At 39.9% G+C, this 16,143-nt stretch overlaps 1 protein-coding gene across 1 annotated transcript in view; it reads right to left on the bottom strand.

The window, feature by feature from the left end:
* The window catches only part of RANBP2 (RAN binding protein 2), a 1,122,820-nt gene that overhangs the window by 84,411 nt on the left and 1,022,266 nt on the right, over nt 1–16,143 (bottom strand). The window lies entirely within an intron of this gene.

Below are 16,143 nucleotides of genomic sequence, written 5' to 3'. Positions count from 1 at the left end.
CTAAGGCAGAACTCCAGCTACCATTTTACTAAGATTTCCAAAGGAGTCAAATATCCCCCAAAACTAAGCTCTTTCCTTCTGTATTCTATGAGCTCCACTGCCGTAGGATGACTGTGAGACACAGCAGTGGCATTAGAAAGGGCTCACTCCCGCTTCTTTTTGGTAAAAGGGGTTTTGTTGCTAAACTAGCAGAGTGAACCACTGAACCCTCCAACAGGGGATGAGGCTTTGAATTGTTATGTCCACTGTTAAACAGATTCCAAATGTGCTTGGCTGCACATTCAGGCCCTGGGGCATGGAGCTGGGATTGAGGCTCTGGTGCTGCCTGAACCCACATGCTGGGGAGTCAAGATGATTGAGGGCAAGTGCATTGGAGGGTGGGGGTGGGGGGAGCGTGGGGGTGGGGGACAGGGCAGGATGGAGAGGAAGGGGGTAGGGTGGGACAGGACAGGGAGGGTGAGGGCAGGGCACAGCAGGGAGGTGGTTGTTCTGCAGGGCTGGGTGAGTGTTAGGGAAAGAATGCTAATGCACCTAACCAAGAAGTATTAAGTCACAAAGTTTTGTTCTTGGTTGTGCAAAGAAGAATCACCATGTGACATGAGTCAGGTCCTCCTAGGAGTTGCCATCAGGGAGGGAATTATATGATATCCCTGAAAACCAGGTCTAAGCAAAGCATACAACACTATAATTGTCCTCTTATTTTTCTATAAAATGAGGATTTTCACATGTTCCTTATGAGTTGCTGTAGCCAAAGCCTTCTTCCTTGTGATCTGGGAAAAAAGGGTTCCTCCTGTTTGTCTTAGATCACCCTGCAGGTACATGTGGGTTGGAGCTGGTGTCACTCACTCCCAGATGAAGGCTTGGAGGTCCATGAAGGGGTGAATAAGACCAGGGTCTCATGGTTTCTTTATCCTTCTTCAGCTTTGTCTGCTTAGTTTTCAGACCATCCTGAAGGAGAATGTGGAGGAAGACAGGTGGCAGCCGAGTTCCTGACAAGGAACCCACGGGTGCGTGGGGACTTGCTCTTTCTCCTGAGTTGATTACCCTTTGCCAGCAGACGAGCACATTTCTCCTCTTGGCCTGGATCTTCTATTAGTAAGGGTGTCCGGGAAGTGTTCATGCAAGTTCTGTTTCTCCAGAACTCTAGAATGCTCATGGCAGATCAAGAACTCATCATGAGATCATGTCCTTCCCAACATGTACATTAATTTTTTCATTCTCCGTTGAGGATGTCCTTTCAGGGAACATAAGTGAAGGGCTGTCTTTTTCTCATCCATCCAATGCTGTGTTAGGGAAATGACTCACTCAATTAACCATGTCAGTGGTTGCAGGGGTCTTAGGTGTGTGGTGACCACAGGTAACAGGGATGTGTGACAGCAGGTGCTGAAGGTTGGGTATGGAGGTAGGTGTTTCATCAGGTGCTCAGCCCGTCAGGCCAGGCAGCTTCCACATACGCCACTTTGTCTCTTTCCTCATCTGTTTTCTTTCACAGCACTTACAACTGCCTGAACATTGTTTATTTACTTAAATCTAGTTTATCAACCACTAGAACACGTCTTCCTGACCACAGTTTTGTGTCTTTATTACTACTCCATCTCCAACATTGAGAACAGTGCTGGGAACTCAATGACTATTTTTTTGAATAAATAAATGGATTAAATTTTTTACTAAGTGACAATACTGTTTTAAGCACTAAGCTAGGGTTTGAGACCATAGTAATAAAAATATAGCCATTTTCTTTTCCAAATAGAACCTAGATTGTTCCAATGGATCTTAATTTTATTGCATTAATTATGAGAATAAATTCCACAACCCACTGTGGAAACATTTAAATCTTCACTGCTGCTGAGACTCAGGGGCTTGGTGTCAGGGGTTTTCCTTCCTGCTCCAGGGAAGGGCCCTCAATGTCCTTGGTGTTCAAGGTGCTCTTCCCCGGGTGCCCTTCCATGCTCGCCTTGTCTTGTTGGGAGCCTGCCTTAGATCTGAAGATCACACACAGTTCTCACACAGAATTCAAAATCCATGCAACTTTGCCCAGAGAGCATCAGCTCTGCAAGTCATTCATGATTTCCCAGTTGAAGCAAGAAGCAATGCTGTGGAGGGAAGGAAGGATTTCTCCAGAGCCCAAATCCAGGTGAGCTTCAAAAACCCTTGGAGTTTTCTGAGTGACAGCAGTGTCTTAGAGATGCTAGTGAGGTGACTGTGATGAGCCCCTAGATAGCTTCAGGATGGGGACAGGTCACCAGAAAGATCAACTATGCAATTACAGGGTTGATACTTTGACCCAGCCCAACCTGGGGGTGGGAGGAGCAGGAGATTGAGTTTGATTATGTGGTCAATGATTTAATCAACCAAGCCTACATAATGAAACCTCAGAAAGCTCTCTAGACACTGAGGTTCAGGGGAGCTTCTAGGTTGGTGAACACTTTGCTGACCAGGAGGGTAACCAGCAGTGACTCCATGGGGAGAGGGCACACAGCTCTGCATTCCCTCTAGACCTCACCCTATACATCCCTTCATGTAGTTGTTACCAAGTTGTATGTTTTATAATAAACCTGTAATCATAATTATTGCTTACTCTTGAGCTCTATGAGTTATTTCAGTGAATTATTGAATCTGAGGGGAAATCAAATGAAAACCTCTGATTTTATAGCCAGTTGTGTAGAAGTACAAGTGGCTTGGGCCCCCCCCCACCAAGGTGTGCCTAGCATCTGAAATCTTAAGAACAGCTTTGTGGGAATGAGCCTTTAAATATGTGAAGTCTGATGCTAACTCTTGATAGTTAGTGTCAGAATTGGATTTCCATATACCCCTGGTGTGGTTAAAATGGAATAGGGGAACATCAGATAATGTATACTGGAGAAGGAAGTGAAATAAACATAAGAAACCCTTTACAAAAAAAAAAAAAAAAAAAGAAAGAAACCCTTTACTCACAGAGCAACTCTTGTAGGACACACAAGGATTCACGTAGTACAGAACAATTTCAGTGTAACTAATGAGGGACAGGGCCCAGTGATCACTCATTCCTCAGTCAGTATTACAGTTCTCACAGCGGGGCAATACTAATCCTAAAGTCAAAGTGGAAAAACTATCTGCTGGAATTCATCAGAAAACTCAAACCAGGAAAAAACTCTATCAAGAACCCTTTAGGAAGTCCTAGCTAGAGCAATCAGACAAAAGAAAGAAATAAATGGCATCCAAATTGGAAAGGAAGAAGTCAAATTATTCTTATATATGACATGATCTTAAATTTGGAAAAACCTAAAGACTCCACCAAAAAACTATTAGAACTGATAAATTCAGTAAAGTTGCAGAATACAAAATTAACATACAAAAATCAGTAGCATTTCTATATGCCAACAGTAAACAATCTGAAAAAGAAATCAAGGAAATAATCCCATCTACAATAGCTACAAATAAAATAAAATATCTAGAAATAAACTTAACCAAAGAAATGAATGATCTCTACAATGAAAACTGTGAAACACTGTTGAAAGAATTGAAGAGGACACAAAGAAATGGAAAGATATTCCATGTTCATGGATTGGAAGAGTCAATATTGTTAAAACGTCCATACTACTCAAAGCAATCTACAGGTTCAATGCAATCCCTAACAAAATACCGAAGACATTCACAGACATAGAAAAAAAATCCTAAAATTTTCATGGAACCACACAAGACCCAGAATAGCCAAAGCTATCCTAAACAAAAAGAACAAAACTGGAAGAATCACATTACCTGACTTCAAATTATACTACAGAGCTATAGTAATCAAAACAGCATTGTACTGGCATAAAAACAGACACATAGACCAACGGAACAGAACAGAGGATCCAGAAACAAACCCATACTCCTGCAGTGAACTCAGTTTTAACAAAGTGCCGAGAACAGACATTGGGGAAAGGATGGGCTCTTCAATAAATGGTGCTGGGAAAACTGGGTATGCAAAGGCAGAAGAATGAAACTAGACCCCTGTCTCTTGCCACATACAAAAATCAAATCAAAATGGGTTAAAGACTTAAATCCAAGTCCTCAAACTATGAAACTACTCCACAAAAACATTGGGGAAACCCTCCAGGACATTGGCCTAGATAAAGATTTTTTGAGTAATACCCCACAGGCATGGGCAACCAAAGCAAAAATGGACAAATGGGTCACTTGTTTAAAAGCTTATACACAGCAAAGGAAACAATCAACAAGTAAAGAGACAACCCACAGAATGGGAGAAAATATTTGCAAACTGCTCATCTGACAATGGATTAATAACTAGAATACATAAGGAGCTCAAACAACTCTATAGGAAAAAAATCGAATAATGTGATTAAAAAATGGACAAAAATTCTGAGTAGACATTTCTCCAAAGAAGACATATAAATGGCAAACAGGCATATAAAAAGGTGCTCAACATCATCAGTCAGCAGAGAAATGCAAATCAAAACTACAATGAGATATCATCCCACCTTAGTTGGAATGGCTTTTATGCAAAAGACAACCAATAACAAATACTGGCAACAATATGGAGAAAAGAGAATCCATGTTCACTGTTGGTGGGAATGTAAATTAGTTCAACCACTATGGAGAACAGTTTGGGGGGTTTCTCAGAAAATGAAAAATAGAACTACCAAATGATCCAGCAACCCCACTGCTAGGTATATACCTAAAAGAAAGAAAATCAGTGTATTGAAGGGATATCTGCACTCCCATGTTTATTGCAGCAGTATTCACAATAGCCAAGATTTGGAAGCAGCCCAAGTATCCATCAACAGACAAATGCATCAAGAAAATGTGGTGCATATACCCTACGGAGTACTATTCAGCTGTAAAAAAGGAATGGGATCCTGTCATTTACAACAACATGGATGGAACTCGAGGTCATAGTGTTAAGTGAAATAAACCAGGCACAGAAAAACAAATTTCCCATATTCTCACTTATTTGTGGGAGCTAAAAATCAAAACAACTGAATTCATGGAGACAGAGAGCAGAAGGATGGTGACCAGAGGCTGGAAAGGGAAGTGGAGGGTGAGGGGAAATAGGGGTGATTAATGGGTACAAAAATATAGTTAGATAGAATGAATAATATCTAGTATTTGATAGCATAACAGAGTGACTATAGTCAACAGTGATGTATTGTACATTTTAGAATAACTAAAAAAGTATAATTGGGTTGTTTGTAATGCAAAAAAAGTATAAATGCTTGAGGGGATGGATACCCCATTTACCCTGATGTGATTATTATGCAGGGCATGCCTGAATCAAAACATCTCACATACTCCATGAATATGTACCTACTACATGCCCACAAAAATAAAATTAAAAAATTTCTAAAAAGAACCCTTTAGCCCACAATTCATTTAAGAACTCAGAATTTTGCCATGTGACTCAATTTTTAAAAGTAAGATAAAAATAGGAATTGTGATATTATTTGGGTTATTGAATGCAAAATTTTGTGACAAGTAATAAGTGATGAGGTTACAGATTAAATACTTTTCAATAGATTGATACTTTTCAATACATATGCAGCCAAAGTTGCTGAAAAATACCATATGTTGGTCAGTTTCTAGCTTTTTATGCAGCTCTAAACATAATTTTATTAGTAGAAATTTGGATCCATCAGAAAATGACTGAAAATGAACTGAGAGACACAAAATTATGCATCTTAACCATTATATTAGTATTATGTGTTCATACACATGGCAAATATTTATATGAACATGGATAAATAATGCATAATTTATGAATGAAGTCTGATGTTAATATAATTCCTCCTTTAAAATGTCAAACCTGTTCATACTTTCCCACCTACACTGCCATGGTTATTCCTCACCTTGACAAGCAGGAGAGGGCAGGGAGAGGAGGCTAGGAGGGAGGAAACAGGCAGAAGGAGACGCCGCAGGAGCATGCAGTATGCGGGTGAGTGTCCCCAGCCGTACTGGGGCAAGGATGGACTGGTGGCGGGGGATGAAGGGCAGTAGGAGCAGAAAGAAGGAAGAGGGCTGCACAGGCAAGGCACTGATGGGGCAAATGAGGCGGTGAGGTTTAGTATCGAGAGCATCACAGCCACAGAGGAGAGGAAATGCAATGAAGATGTGGGTGTGTTGTCCTGGGAAGCTCACGCCTCCTCATGAGGGTGCTACCAATTCTTGTGAGAATCAGATCAGCTGAAGCATACAGAGCACTCTCTCTGCTGAACAGCGGGAGCTCAGTTCCTGTTGTTTCACTCTCATCTCTCCCAGTTCTTTCTGATAAACCTTGAGCTGCTCCTCCTTGTAAATTAGAACCTCCAACTTTCTAAGTTGGAAGGGGACTGAAAGGCTATTTTAGTAGACACAATTCTAAGACAGCCCCCCAGATTCTGTCCCCTGGAGTCCACTCCTGTACAATCTCCTCCCATTGAGGGGGGCCTGGACTTCTGAATATATTGGGATGTCTTTTCCCTAATTAGATAACCTTACATGGCAATGCTGGAGGTGGCAGGGGTGGGGGGTGGTTGCAGATATATTTAAGGTCTATAGTATTCTGACTGTGATATAATCAAGAGGTATATTTTGTCTAATTAGAAGAGTCCTTTTGAAGAGAGTCTATGGGTCAGAAATGAAGGAAGTCTGAGAGACATTCCTAACACTCAACATAAATCAATTGGTAATTTGAGGTTTCCAGTCATTTGTTTCACATAAATAGAACTAACAGAGGTATCTAGACTCCTCTGCCCTGTTCCCTGGATCCTAGTCCTAGTTTTAACCAGTTACTAAATCCTTGTCAACAAAGGATCATCCAGCCTGTTCCTAAACAATCCCAATGTAGGGACCTGACTGACACCTAAGGTAGATTAATTTGGTTTTATAAATAGGGTTAATAATTATAGTAGTGGGGCCGGGTGCAGTGGCTCACTCCAATAATCCCAGCACTTTGGGAGGCCGAGGAGGGCAGATCACGAGGTCAGGAGTTCGAGACAAGCCTGGCTAACATGGTGAAACCCCGTCTCTACTAAAAGTACCAAAATTAGTAGGGCATAGTGGTGCACGCCTGTAATCCCAGCTACTCAGTAGGCTGAGGCAGAAGAATCACTTGAATTCGGGAGGTGGAGGTTGCAGTGAGACGAGATCACGCCAGTGCACTCCAGCCTGGGTGACAGAACAAGACTCTGACTCGAAAAAAAAAAATTATTATTATTATTATTATTATTATTATTATAGTAGTGATTCTTTTTACCTGTTCAGCACTAAGTAGATGCCAGCTACCATGCGAAGTCCTTGATCTTATCAAATTTTTACAATAGCCTCATGTGGACAAGAGAGAAGGGCAGGGTAGCTAGGTGAGAATCAACCATTTAGTTCAACCTCATTCAGTTGTGAGGAATCTCAGGCCCAGATATGTTAAGCTTGGGGGTTACAAAGCTCCCTGCTGCTGTTTTCAACCATTAGCATAACCCAGAACACCTAGATGTTTCCTCTATTTTCTATGAACTCAGCAAAAGTATCCTTGACCCACACAATCTCCTATGGTTGTGCTTGTATGCACTACTCTTGTGCTGTGACCAGAATTCAGTTCACAGCAGCCTTTCATGTTGTCACAGTGTTAACTTAGCACATCTTCAACACCACCAGCCTGTGATGTACTTTAGAGAATTGTACATTTCTGGCTATATATGATTTAAACACAGTCAAACATCTATCATACTGAAAATTCAAAATTCATAAATCTATAAAATGCTTTAGAGGCTCAGAAAAGAAGTGAGCTGGCATTGAGAACTTTTCATATATTTGAGTTTGTCATTTTAATTAAGTTTTGAATGACTGTAATACTCATTATTATCCAAACAGGTTTTAAAGGGACTCTTGTATGACATCAGTTTTTTCTGGAGATAAGCTAACAAATGGTGTGACATGCTATGAAACAGGTTTTATTGTTAAGGGAAGAAATATATATTCAGCAAAGCATATGTGTTGTCCATAAAACATACCACATTATGTGACCTTGTCAGTAGTTAAAAATCAAGTCAAGTTCCATCCAACCCTAACATTCATTAGGCTAAATTTCTTAAAAACAATTGTATCATATTAAATAATAATTGTAATTATTTCTCAAACTTTCTAATCTTGCACCTATTAGAAGTGTTTTTTGTTTTCTTTTTTTTTTTTTAGATGGAGTCTCACTCTGTCACCCAGGCTGGAGTGCAGTGGCATGATCTCAGCTCACTGTAACCTCTGCCTTCTGGCTTCAAGCAATTCTCCTGCCTCAGCCTTTCAAGTAGCTGGGATTATAGGTGCCTGCCACCATGCCCAACTAATTTTTTGTATTTTTAGTAGAGACAGTGTTTTGCCATGTTTCACCATGCCTGACAAGGCCAGACTGGTCTCAAACTCCTGACCTCAGGTGATCCACCCACCTCAGCCTCCCAAAGTGCCGGGATTACAGGTGTGAGCCACTGCGCCCGCCTCAGAACAGTTCTTAAAGGATGCCTCTACTCCTCTATTTGTCTATGGGTTTATTACCTTATATTAAAGCATCTTAGAGACTTTTCAGGACAATACACATGGCTTTTACCATCACTGGAAAGTATTTCTTGCAAATACTTGATAACTTTAACAAAGTGATCTTCCCTGTTTCAGCTGACACTAAAGACACACTCATCCTCCGATGAAGCCGCACACATCAGCTAGCAAGAGTATCAGTGTTTCCACCGTGGAGGTTCGATTCAGTTGCTCTGAACGCTGGTCATACCAAATATACCTCTCTCTGCTCTCCACTGAAAGAAACTCAGCTGGGTGTTCATTCCAAAGTTAGGTTTCTATACTTCTTTGGAACAAATCATCTGAGTTGTGTAGTAAAGAGAAGTCATAATGCAATTCATAGACATATGAATAAAATGCTAAAGGTTTCACAAATGCTAAATTGTAGGGATATTTCAGGCAGTATATGGTTTCCTTTCTATTACTAAGGGTAAATTCATTTTTTATACATGTTTATTTTAAGCTAGTCTTTATTTATTTATTTATTTATTTATTTATTTATTTATTGAGATGGAGTCTCTCTCTGTCACCCAGGCCAGAATGCAGTGGCACAATCTTGGCTCACTGCAACCTCCGCCTCCTGGGTTCAAGCGATTCTCCTGCCTCAGTCTCCCGAGTAGCTGGGATTAGAGGCATATGCCACCACGCCCAGCTAATTTTTGTGTTTTTCGTAGAGATGGGGTTTTGCCATGTTGGCCAGGCTGGTTTTGAACGCCTGACCTCAGGTAATCCGCCCGCCTCGGCCTCCCAAACTGCTGGGATTACAGGCGTGAGCCACTGCGCCCGGCCTAAGCCAGTTTTTTAAATGGGGAATATAGAATTCTAATTGTGTCTCATTCTCTGTTGTACAGAAAATTGAAGAGTTATGCAATAGTACTGGGGGTTACAATATAAATACTCTTTTAAAGGTAAGGCGGGCTAAGCAATTTTTACACCTAGAAAATGAAAAACCAAAATGTTTTATTTTCCATGGAAAGGTAACTTGTAATCAGTCCACTGAAAGTATATTGGTTAGTGTTGTTTATTTGGCTTAGACTTAGAGGATAAGAATTTGTGAGACAGATCCTCTTAAAGAGGTATAAATGTTAGGCCAGGTGCGGTGGCTCACGCCTGTAATCCCAACGCTTCGGGAGGCTGAGGTGGGTGGATCACCTGGCCAATGTGGTGAAACCCCGTCTCTGTTAAAAATAGAAAAATTAGCTGGGTGTGATGATGTGTGCCTGTAGTCCCAGCTACTCAGGAGGCTGAGGCAGGAGAATTGCTTGAACCCGAGAGGTGGAGGTTGCAGTGAGCCAAGATCACGCCATTGCACTCCAGCCTGGCGACAGAGCGAGACTCCGCCTCAAAAAAAAAAAAAAAAAAAAAAAAGGTATAAATGTTAAAAAATTTAAAATTCCTTTAGCTTAATATTTTTTTCCGACAATCTCCTTCAACTTAAGTTTAATGGAAATTTAGGACCCTGTAAGAAGTAGTTTGATGGAAATGCAAGACCATGGCATTCTAACCTTGATGTTAAACAACTGGGTTGAGAATGACAGGAACAAAAATTAGTTTACCTTAGACAGTACATTCAAATTACTACCAAACTGAACCAAAAGTTTAGTGTGTAGGTATTATTAATGATTTTTTTTTTTTTGAGACAGGGTTTTGCTCTTTTTGCCCAGGCTCAATCAAGTGCAATGGCGCAATCTTGGCTCACTGCAACCTCCGCCACCCCAGTTCTCCTGCCTCAGCCTCCGGAGTAACTGGAATTACAGGCACCCACCATCACGCCCAGCTAATTTTATATTTTTAGTAGAGACGGGATTTCACCAGGCTGGCCAGGCTCGAACTCCTGACCTCAGGAGATCTGCCCACCTCGGCCCCGCAAAGTGCTGGGATTACAGGCGTTAAGCCTGTTAATGATCTTATAGGGCAAAGTCGTCCTTGAACATCAGGCATATTTAAAAAAACATTTTTTAGAGTCGTTGATTTGAATCATTTTGAAAGGAAAACTAATTTTATACCTCAAAACGAATTTAGATTATGTCTAGTCATAATTATTTTATAGTCATAAATGTCTGTTTTCTAAATCTGGGGATCTTGCTCAGTGTAATAAAATATTCATTTTTGTACCTATTAGATTCACTTAACTACTAAAGCTGGTATTTTTTATTACCTCATATGCTGATAAGATAATGAATATTTTCTTAATAAATGTTCAGTAATATTGGGAAGATCATGGTGCTATATGAATCATGTTTCATATATAAAGAAATCAAGGATAAGAAAGGCATATAGATATATTATTTGCGCTATGTTACTAAGAATGGATATCATCTGTCTCAGCCCATCTGGGTTGCCATAAAAGAATACCTGAGACTAGATAGTTTATAAAGAAAAATGATTTATTTGGCTCACAATTCTGTTGGCTGAAAGATTGGGCATGTGGTGAGGGCCTCTGGCTGCCTCCACTCATGGAGAAAGACAAAGGGGAGTTGGCATGCAGAAATCGCATGGCGAGAGAGGAAGCAAGAGAGAGAGGAGGAGGTACCAGGCTCCTTTAACAACCAGCTCTCATGGGAACTAACAGAGCAAGAATTCACTCATAAATCCCCCGCCAGGGAGGGCATTAACCTACTCATGAGGGAGCCAACCCCATGATCCAAACACCTCCCATTAGGCCCCACCTCCAACACTGGGTATTAAATTTTAACATGAGGTTCAGGGGCCAACATCTAAACCATAGCATCATCTGTTGTGTATAACAAAAAAAAAAAATGAAGAATATTTGTGGAAACATCACTTAAGTCTATGCGAGATTTCACAAATACCTTGCCATTCCTAGAAGTCGAAATGACTTTTTTATAATTTTGGATTGGCACATTTATAAACATTTTCCAAATACAGTGTCACCACCTATAACAGTGGTTTGATTTAGTATCTCTTTAGATCTTTCTACATGTTTACAGGAGAGTTTTGGAAAATTAGTTCATTTGTTCTAATTCTTTATACATTTATTGGAATGTAATAGAAACTAATTAGCTGGTATGTTTAATGTAGATTTCAGAATTGTCAATCAAATGTGCTGTGCTCATTACTCAACTATTGAAGCCAGAACTTTTTCTCAATATCTTTACCTTTTTTTCAAGCATTTCATTACCTTTTTAAAAACTAATACACTATGTTTAGAGCTTGGTTTTACAGAAAAACCAAGCAGAAAATACAGTGTCTCCTTTACTTCCTCCCCCACTTTCTCCTCATCTCCCCTCTTCCAGTTTCCTCTATCATTAACTTCACTGTAGTACATTTGCTACAACTGATTAACCAATAATGATGCATTATTATTCACTGAATCCTTAATTTTAATTAGGACTACCTTTTTTTTTTTTTTAGATGGAATCTTACTCTATTGCCCATGCTTGAGTGCAATGGTGCAATCTAGGCTGACTGCAACCTTTGCCTCCCGGATTCAAGCGATTCTCCCGCCTCAGCTTCCCGAGTAGCTGGGATTACAGGCACACACCACCATGCCTGGCTAATTTTTGTATTTTTGCAGAGATGGGGATTCACCATGTTGCCCAGGCTGGTCTTGAACTCCTGACCTCAGGTGATCCACCCGCCTCAGCCTCCCAAAGTGCTGGGATTAAAGGCGTGAGCCACCATCCCCCGCCGGGCTATGCCTTTATGTTTTGTACTTCTAGGGCTTCTGACAAATGCACAATGGCATATGTCCATCATCACAGAATCATAAAAAATAGTTTTACTGCCCTAAAAATCTGCTGTGCTCCACCTATTTATTCCTGGCTCCCATCCCCCACCAACTACTGATCATTTTACTGTCTCTATAGTTTTGCCTTTTCCAGAATGCCAAATGGTTGGAATCTTACAGTGTGTAGCCTTTTCTGACAGGCTTCCTTCACCTTGCAACATACATTTAAAGTTTCTCCATGATTTTGCATGGCTTAACAGTTCATGTCCTGGACAGCGTGGTGGCTCATGCTTGTAACCTCAGCACTTTGGGAGGCTGAGGTGAGCAGATCACTTGAGCTCACAAGTTTAAGACCAGCCTGGGCAACATGGCAAAATCCTACCTCTATAAAAAATTTTAAAAAATTAACTGGGCATAATAGTACATGCCTGTAGTACCAGGTACTTGGGAGGCTGAGGTGGGAGAAAAACTTCAGCCTGGGAGGCAAAGATTGCAGTGAGCCAAGATCACACCACCACACTCCAGCCCGGGCAATAGAACCAGACCTTGTCTCAAAAAACAAAAACAAAAACAAACAAACAAAACGGAAAAAATATATATAGTTCACATCCTTTTATTGCTGAATAATATTCCATGATATAGATATACCACAGATTGTTTATCCATTCACCTACTGCTTCCAGTTTGAGACAATTGTGAATAAAGCTGCTATACGCACTCATGTGCATTTTTGGTGGGGACATAAATTTACAACTTCTTTGGATAAATATCAAAGAGCTTGATTAGTAGATTGTATAGTAAGAGTATGTTTAGTTTTGTAAGAAACAGCCAAAGTCTTCCAAAGTAATGGTGCTGCTTTGCTTTTCCACCAGCAATGAGTGAGAATTCCTGTTGCTCCACATTCTCACCAGCATTCGATGTTATCAGTGTTCTGGATTTTAGCCATTCTAATCGGTGTTTAGTGATATGTAATTGTTGTTTTAATTTCCAGTTCCCTGGTGACATATGATGTTGAGCATCTTTTCATACAATTAATTATTTGCCATTTGTATATCTACTTTGGTGAGATATCTATTCAGATCTCTTACTTGTTAATTAGATCATTTATTTTATTATTATTGGCTATTAAGAATTCTTTGTATAATTTGGAGTAAACAGCCACAGAATGGGAGAAACTATTCGCAAACTACACGTCTGACAAAGGTCTACATCCAGAATCTATAAGGAATGTAAACAAATCAACAAGCAAAAAAAAAAAAAATTTCTCAAAAGAAAACATATAAGTGCCTAAGAAATATATGAAAAGATGCTCAACATCACTAATTCATCAAAGAAATGCAAATCAAAACCACAATGAGAAAACATCTCACGCTAGTAAGAATGGCTATTATTACAAAGTCAAAAAACAACAGATGCTGACAAGACTGCAGAGAAAAGAGAATGCTTATACAGTATTGTTGGGAATGTAAATTAGCTCAGCCACTGTGGAAAGCAGTTTGGAGATTTCTCAAAGAACTTAGAACTACCATTCAACCCAGAAATCCCATTATTGGATATATATCCAAAAGAAAAATTGTTCTACCAAAAAGACACTTGCACTCACATGTTCATCACAGCACTATTCACAAAAGCAAAGACATAGAATCAACTTAGGTGCCCATCAATGGTGGATTTGATAAAGAATACATGGTACAGATATACCATGGAATACTATGCAGCCATAAAAAGGAACAAAATCCTATGCTCTGTAACAGCATGGATGCAGCTGCAGTCCATCATCCTAAGTGAATAAACCCAGGAACAGAAAATCTACTGCCACATGTTCTCACTTGTAAGTGGGAGCTAAACACTGGGTACTCATGGACGTAAAGATGGCAATAGACACTGGGGACTAGTAAATGAGGAGGATGGGAGGTGGCAAGGGTTGAAAAACTAACTATTGGGTACTATGCTTGACACCTGAGTGACAGGATCGTTCATACCCCAAACATCAGCATCACACAATATACCCAGGTAGCAAATCTGCACAAATATCCACTGAATCAAAACTAAAAGTTGCAAAAAGAAAAATAGAAAAAAAGAGTTCTTTGTATATTTTGGATAACAGTCCTTTATCAGATATATCTTTGCAAATATTTTCTTTCAACCTGTGGCTTGTCTTCTCATTCTCTTAATAGTATCTTTCACAGAACAGCAATTGTTATTTTTAGCAAAGTCCAACTGTCGATTTTTCTTTTATGGATATTGCTTTTGGTTTCATACCTAAAAAGTCAGCCAAACCCATGATTACCTAGATTTTCTTCTATGTTATATTTTTAAAGTTTTATCATTTTGCATTTTACATTGAAGTCATTGATACATTTTGAGTTAATTTTTGTGAAAGGTGTAAGGTCTATGTCTAGATTTTTATTATTTTTTGAGATGGGGTCTTGCTCTGCCACCCAGGCTGTAGTGCAGTGATGCCATCGTGGCTTACTGCAGCATCGGCCTCCCAGGTTCAAGCCATCCTCCCACCTCAGCTTCCCAAGTAGCTGAGACTACAGGCACTAGCCACCACACTCAGCTAATTTTTAAATTTTTTGTAGACAGGGGGTCTCTCTATGTTGCACAGGCTGCTCTTGACCTCCTGAGCTCAAGTGATTCTCCCATCTCCGCCTCCCAAAGCATTGGGATTACAGGTGTGAGCCACCATGCCTGGCTAGATTTTTTTTAATGTAGATGTCCAATCATTTCAGCATCATTTATTTTTGTATTAAATTGTCTTTGCTCCTTTGCAAATATCAGTTGACTATACCTGTTGGCATCTATTTTTGGGCTTTCAATTCTATTCCATTGACTGTTCATTTAATCTTCTGCTAATACCACATTGTCCTGATTGTTCTAGCGTTATGTTCTCACTTATAAGTGAGATAAGTGAGTAAGTCTTGAAATCAGATGGTGTCAGTACTCTGACTTCATTCTCCTTTAATACCATGTTGACTATTCTGGGTCTTTTGCCTCTTTATATAAACTTTAGAATCAATTTGTTAATTCCACAAAACAACTTGCTGAGATTTTTATTAGGATTGTATTGGATCTACAGATTAAGTTGGGAATAACTGACATCCTAACAATATTGGATCTTCCTATTCATGAACATGGAATACTTCTCTATTTATTCAAATCTTTATTTTTTTATCAGAGTTTTGTAGTCTTCCCCATATATATCATTCATACATATATAGTTTGTTTGTTTGTTTGTTTGTTTGTTTTTGTTTTTGTTTTTTTGAGAAGGAGTTTCCCTCTTGTCACCCAGGCTGGAGTGCAATGGCACGGTCTCGGCTCACTGCAACCTCCGCCTCCCAGGTACAAGCAATTCTTGTGCCTCAGCCTCGCAAATAGCTGGGATTACAGGCACCTGCCACCATGCCCGGCTAATTTTCTATTTTTCGTAGAGACGGGATTTCACCATGTTGGCCAGGCTGGTCTCAAATTCCTGACCTCAGGTGATCCGCCCATCCCGGCCTCCCAAAGTGCTGGGATTACAGGTGTGAGCCACCTCCCCTGGCCTATATCTTGTATATTTTTTAAGATTTTTAAGTACTTCCTTTTTGTGGAATTGTGTTTTAAATTTTAAATTCCAATTGTTCATTGGTGGTATATAGAAAGCAATTGACTTTTGTATATAACCTTGTAATCTGCATCCTTACTGTAATCACTTAACAGTTCCAGAAGTACTTTTGTCAAGACTCTGGGATTTTCTACATAGACAATCATGTCATCTGTAAAGAGACAAGTGTTTTGCTTTTGTTAATCAATACACCTTTACTTCCTCTTCTTATCTTATTCTTCTAGCTAAAACTTCCAATACAATGCTGAATAGTAGTGGGGAGAGGGGATACATTTCCTTTGTTCTAATCTTAGGGTGAAAGCGTCTAGTCTCTCATCAAGTATGATGATAG

Source organism: Homo sapiens, chromosome 2, assembly GCF_000001405.40.
Source record: "Homo sapiens chromosome 2, GRCh38.p14 Primary Assembly".
Lineage (NCBI taxonomy): Eukaryota > Metazoa > Chordata > Mammalia > Primates > Hominidae > Homo > Homo sapiens.
This window is presented reverse-complemented; position numbering and strand designations above follow the sequence as displayed.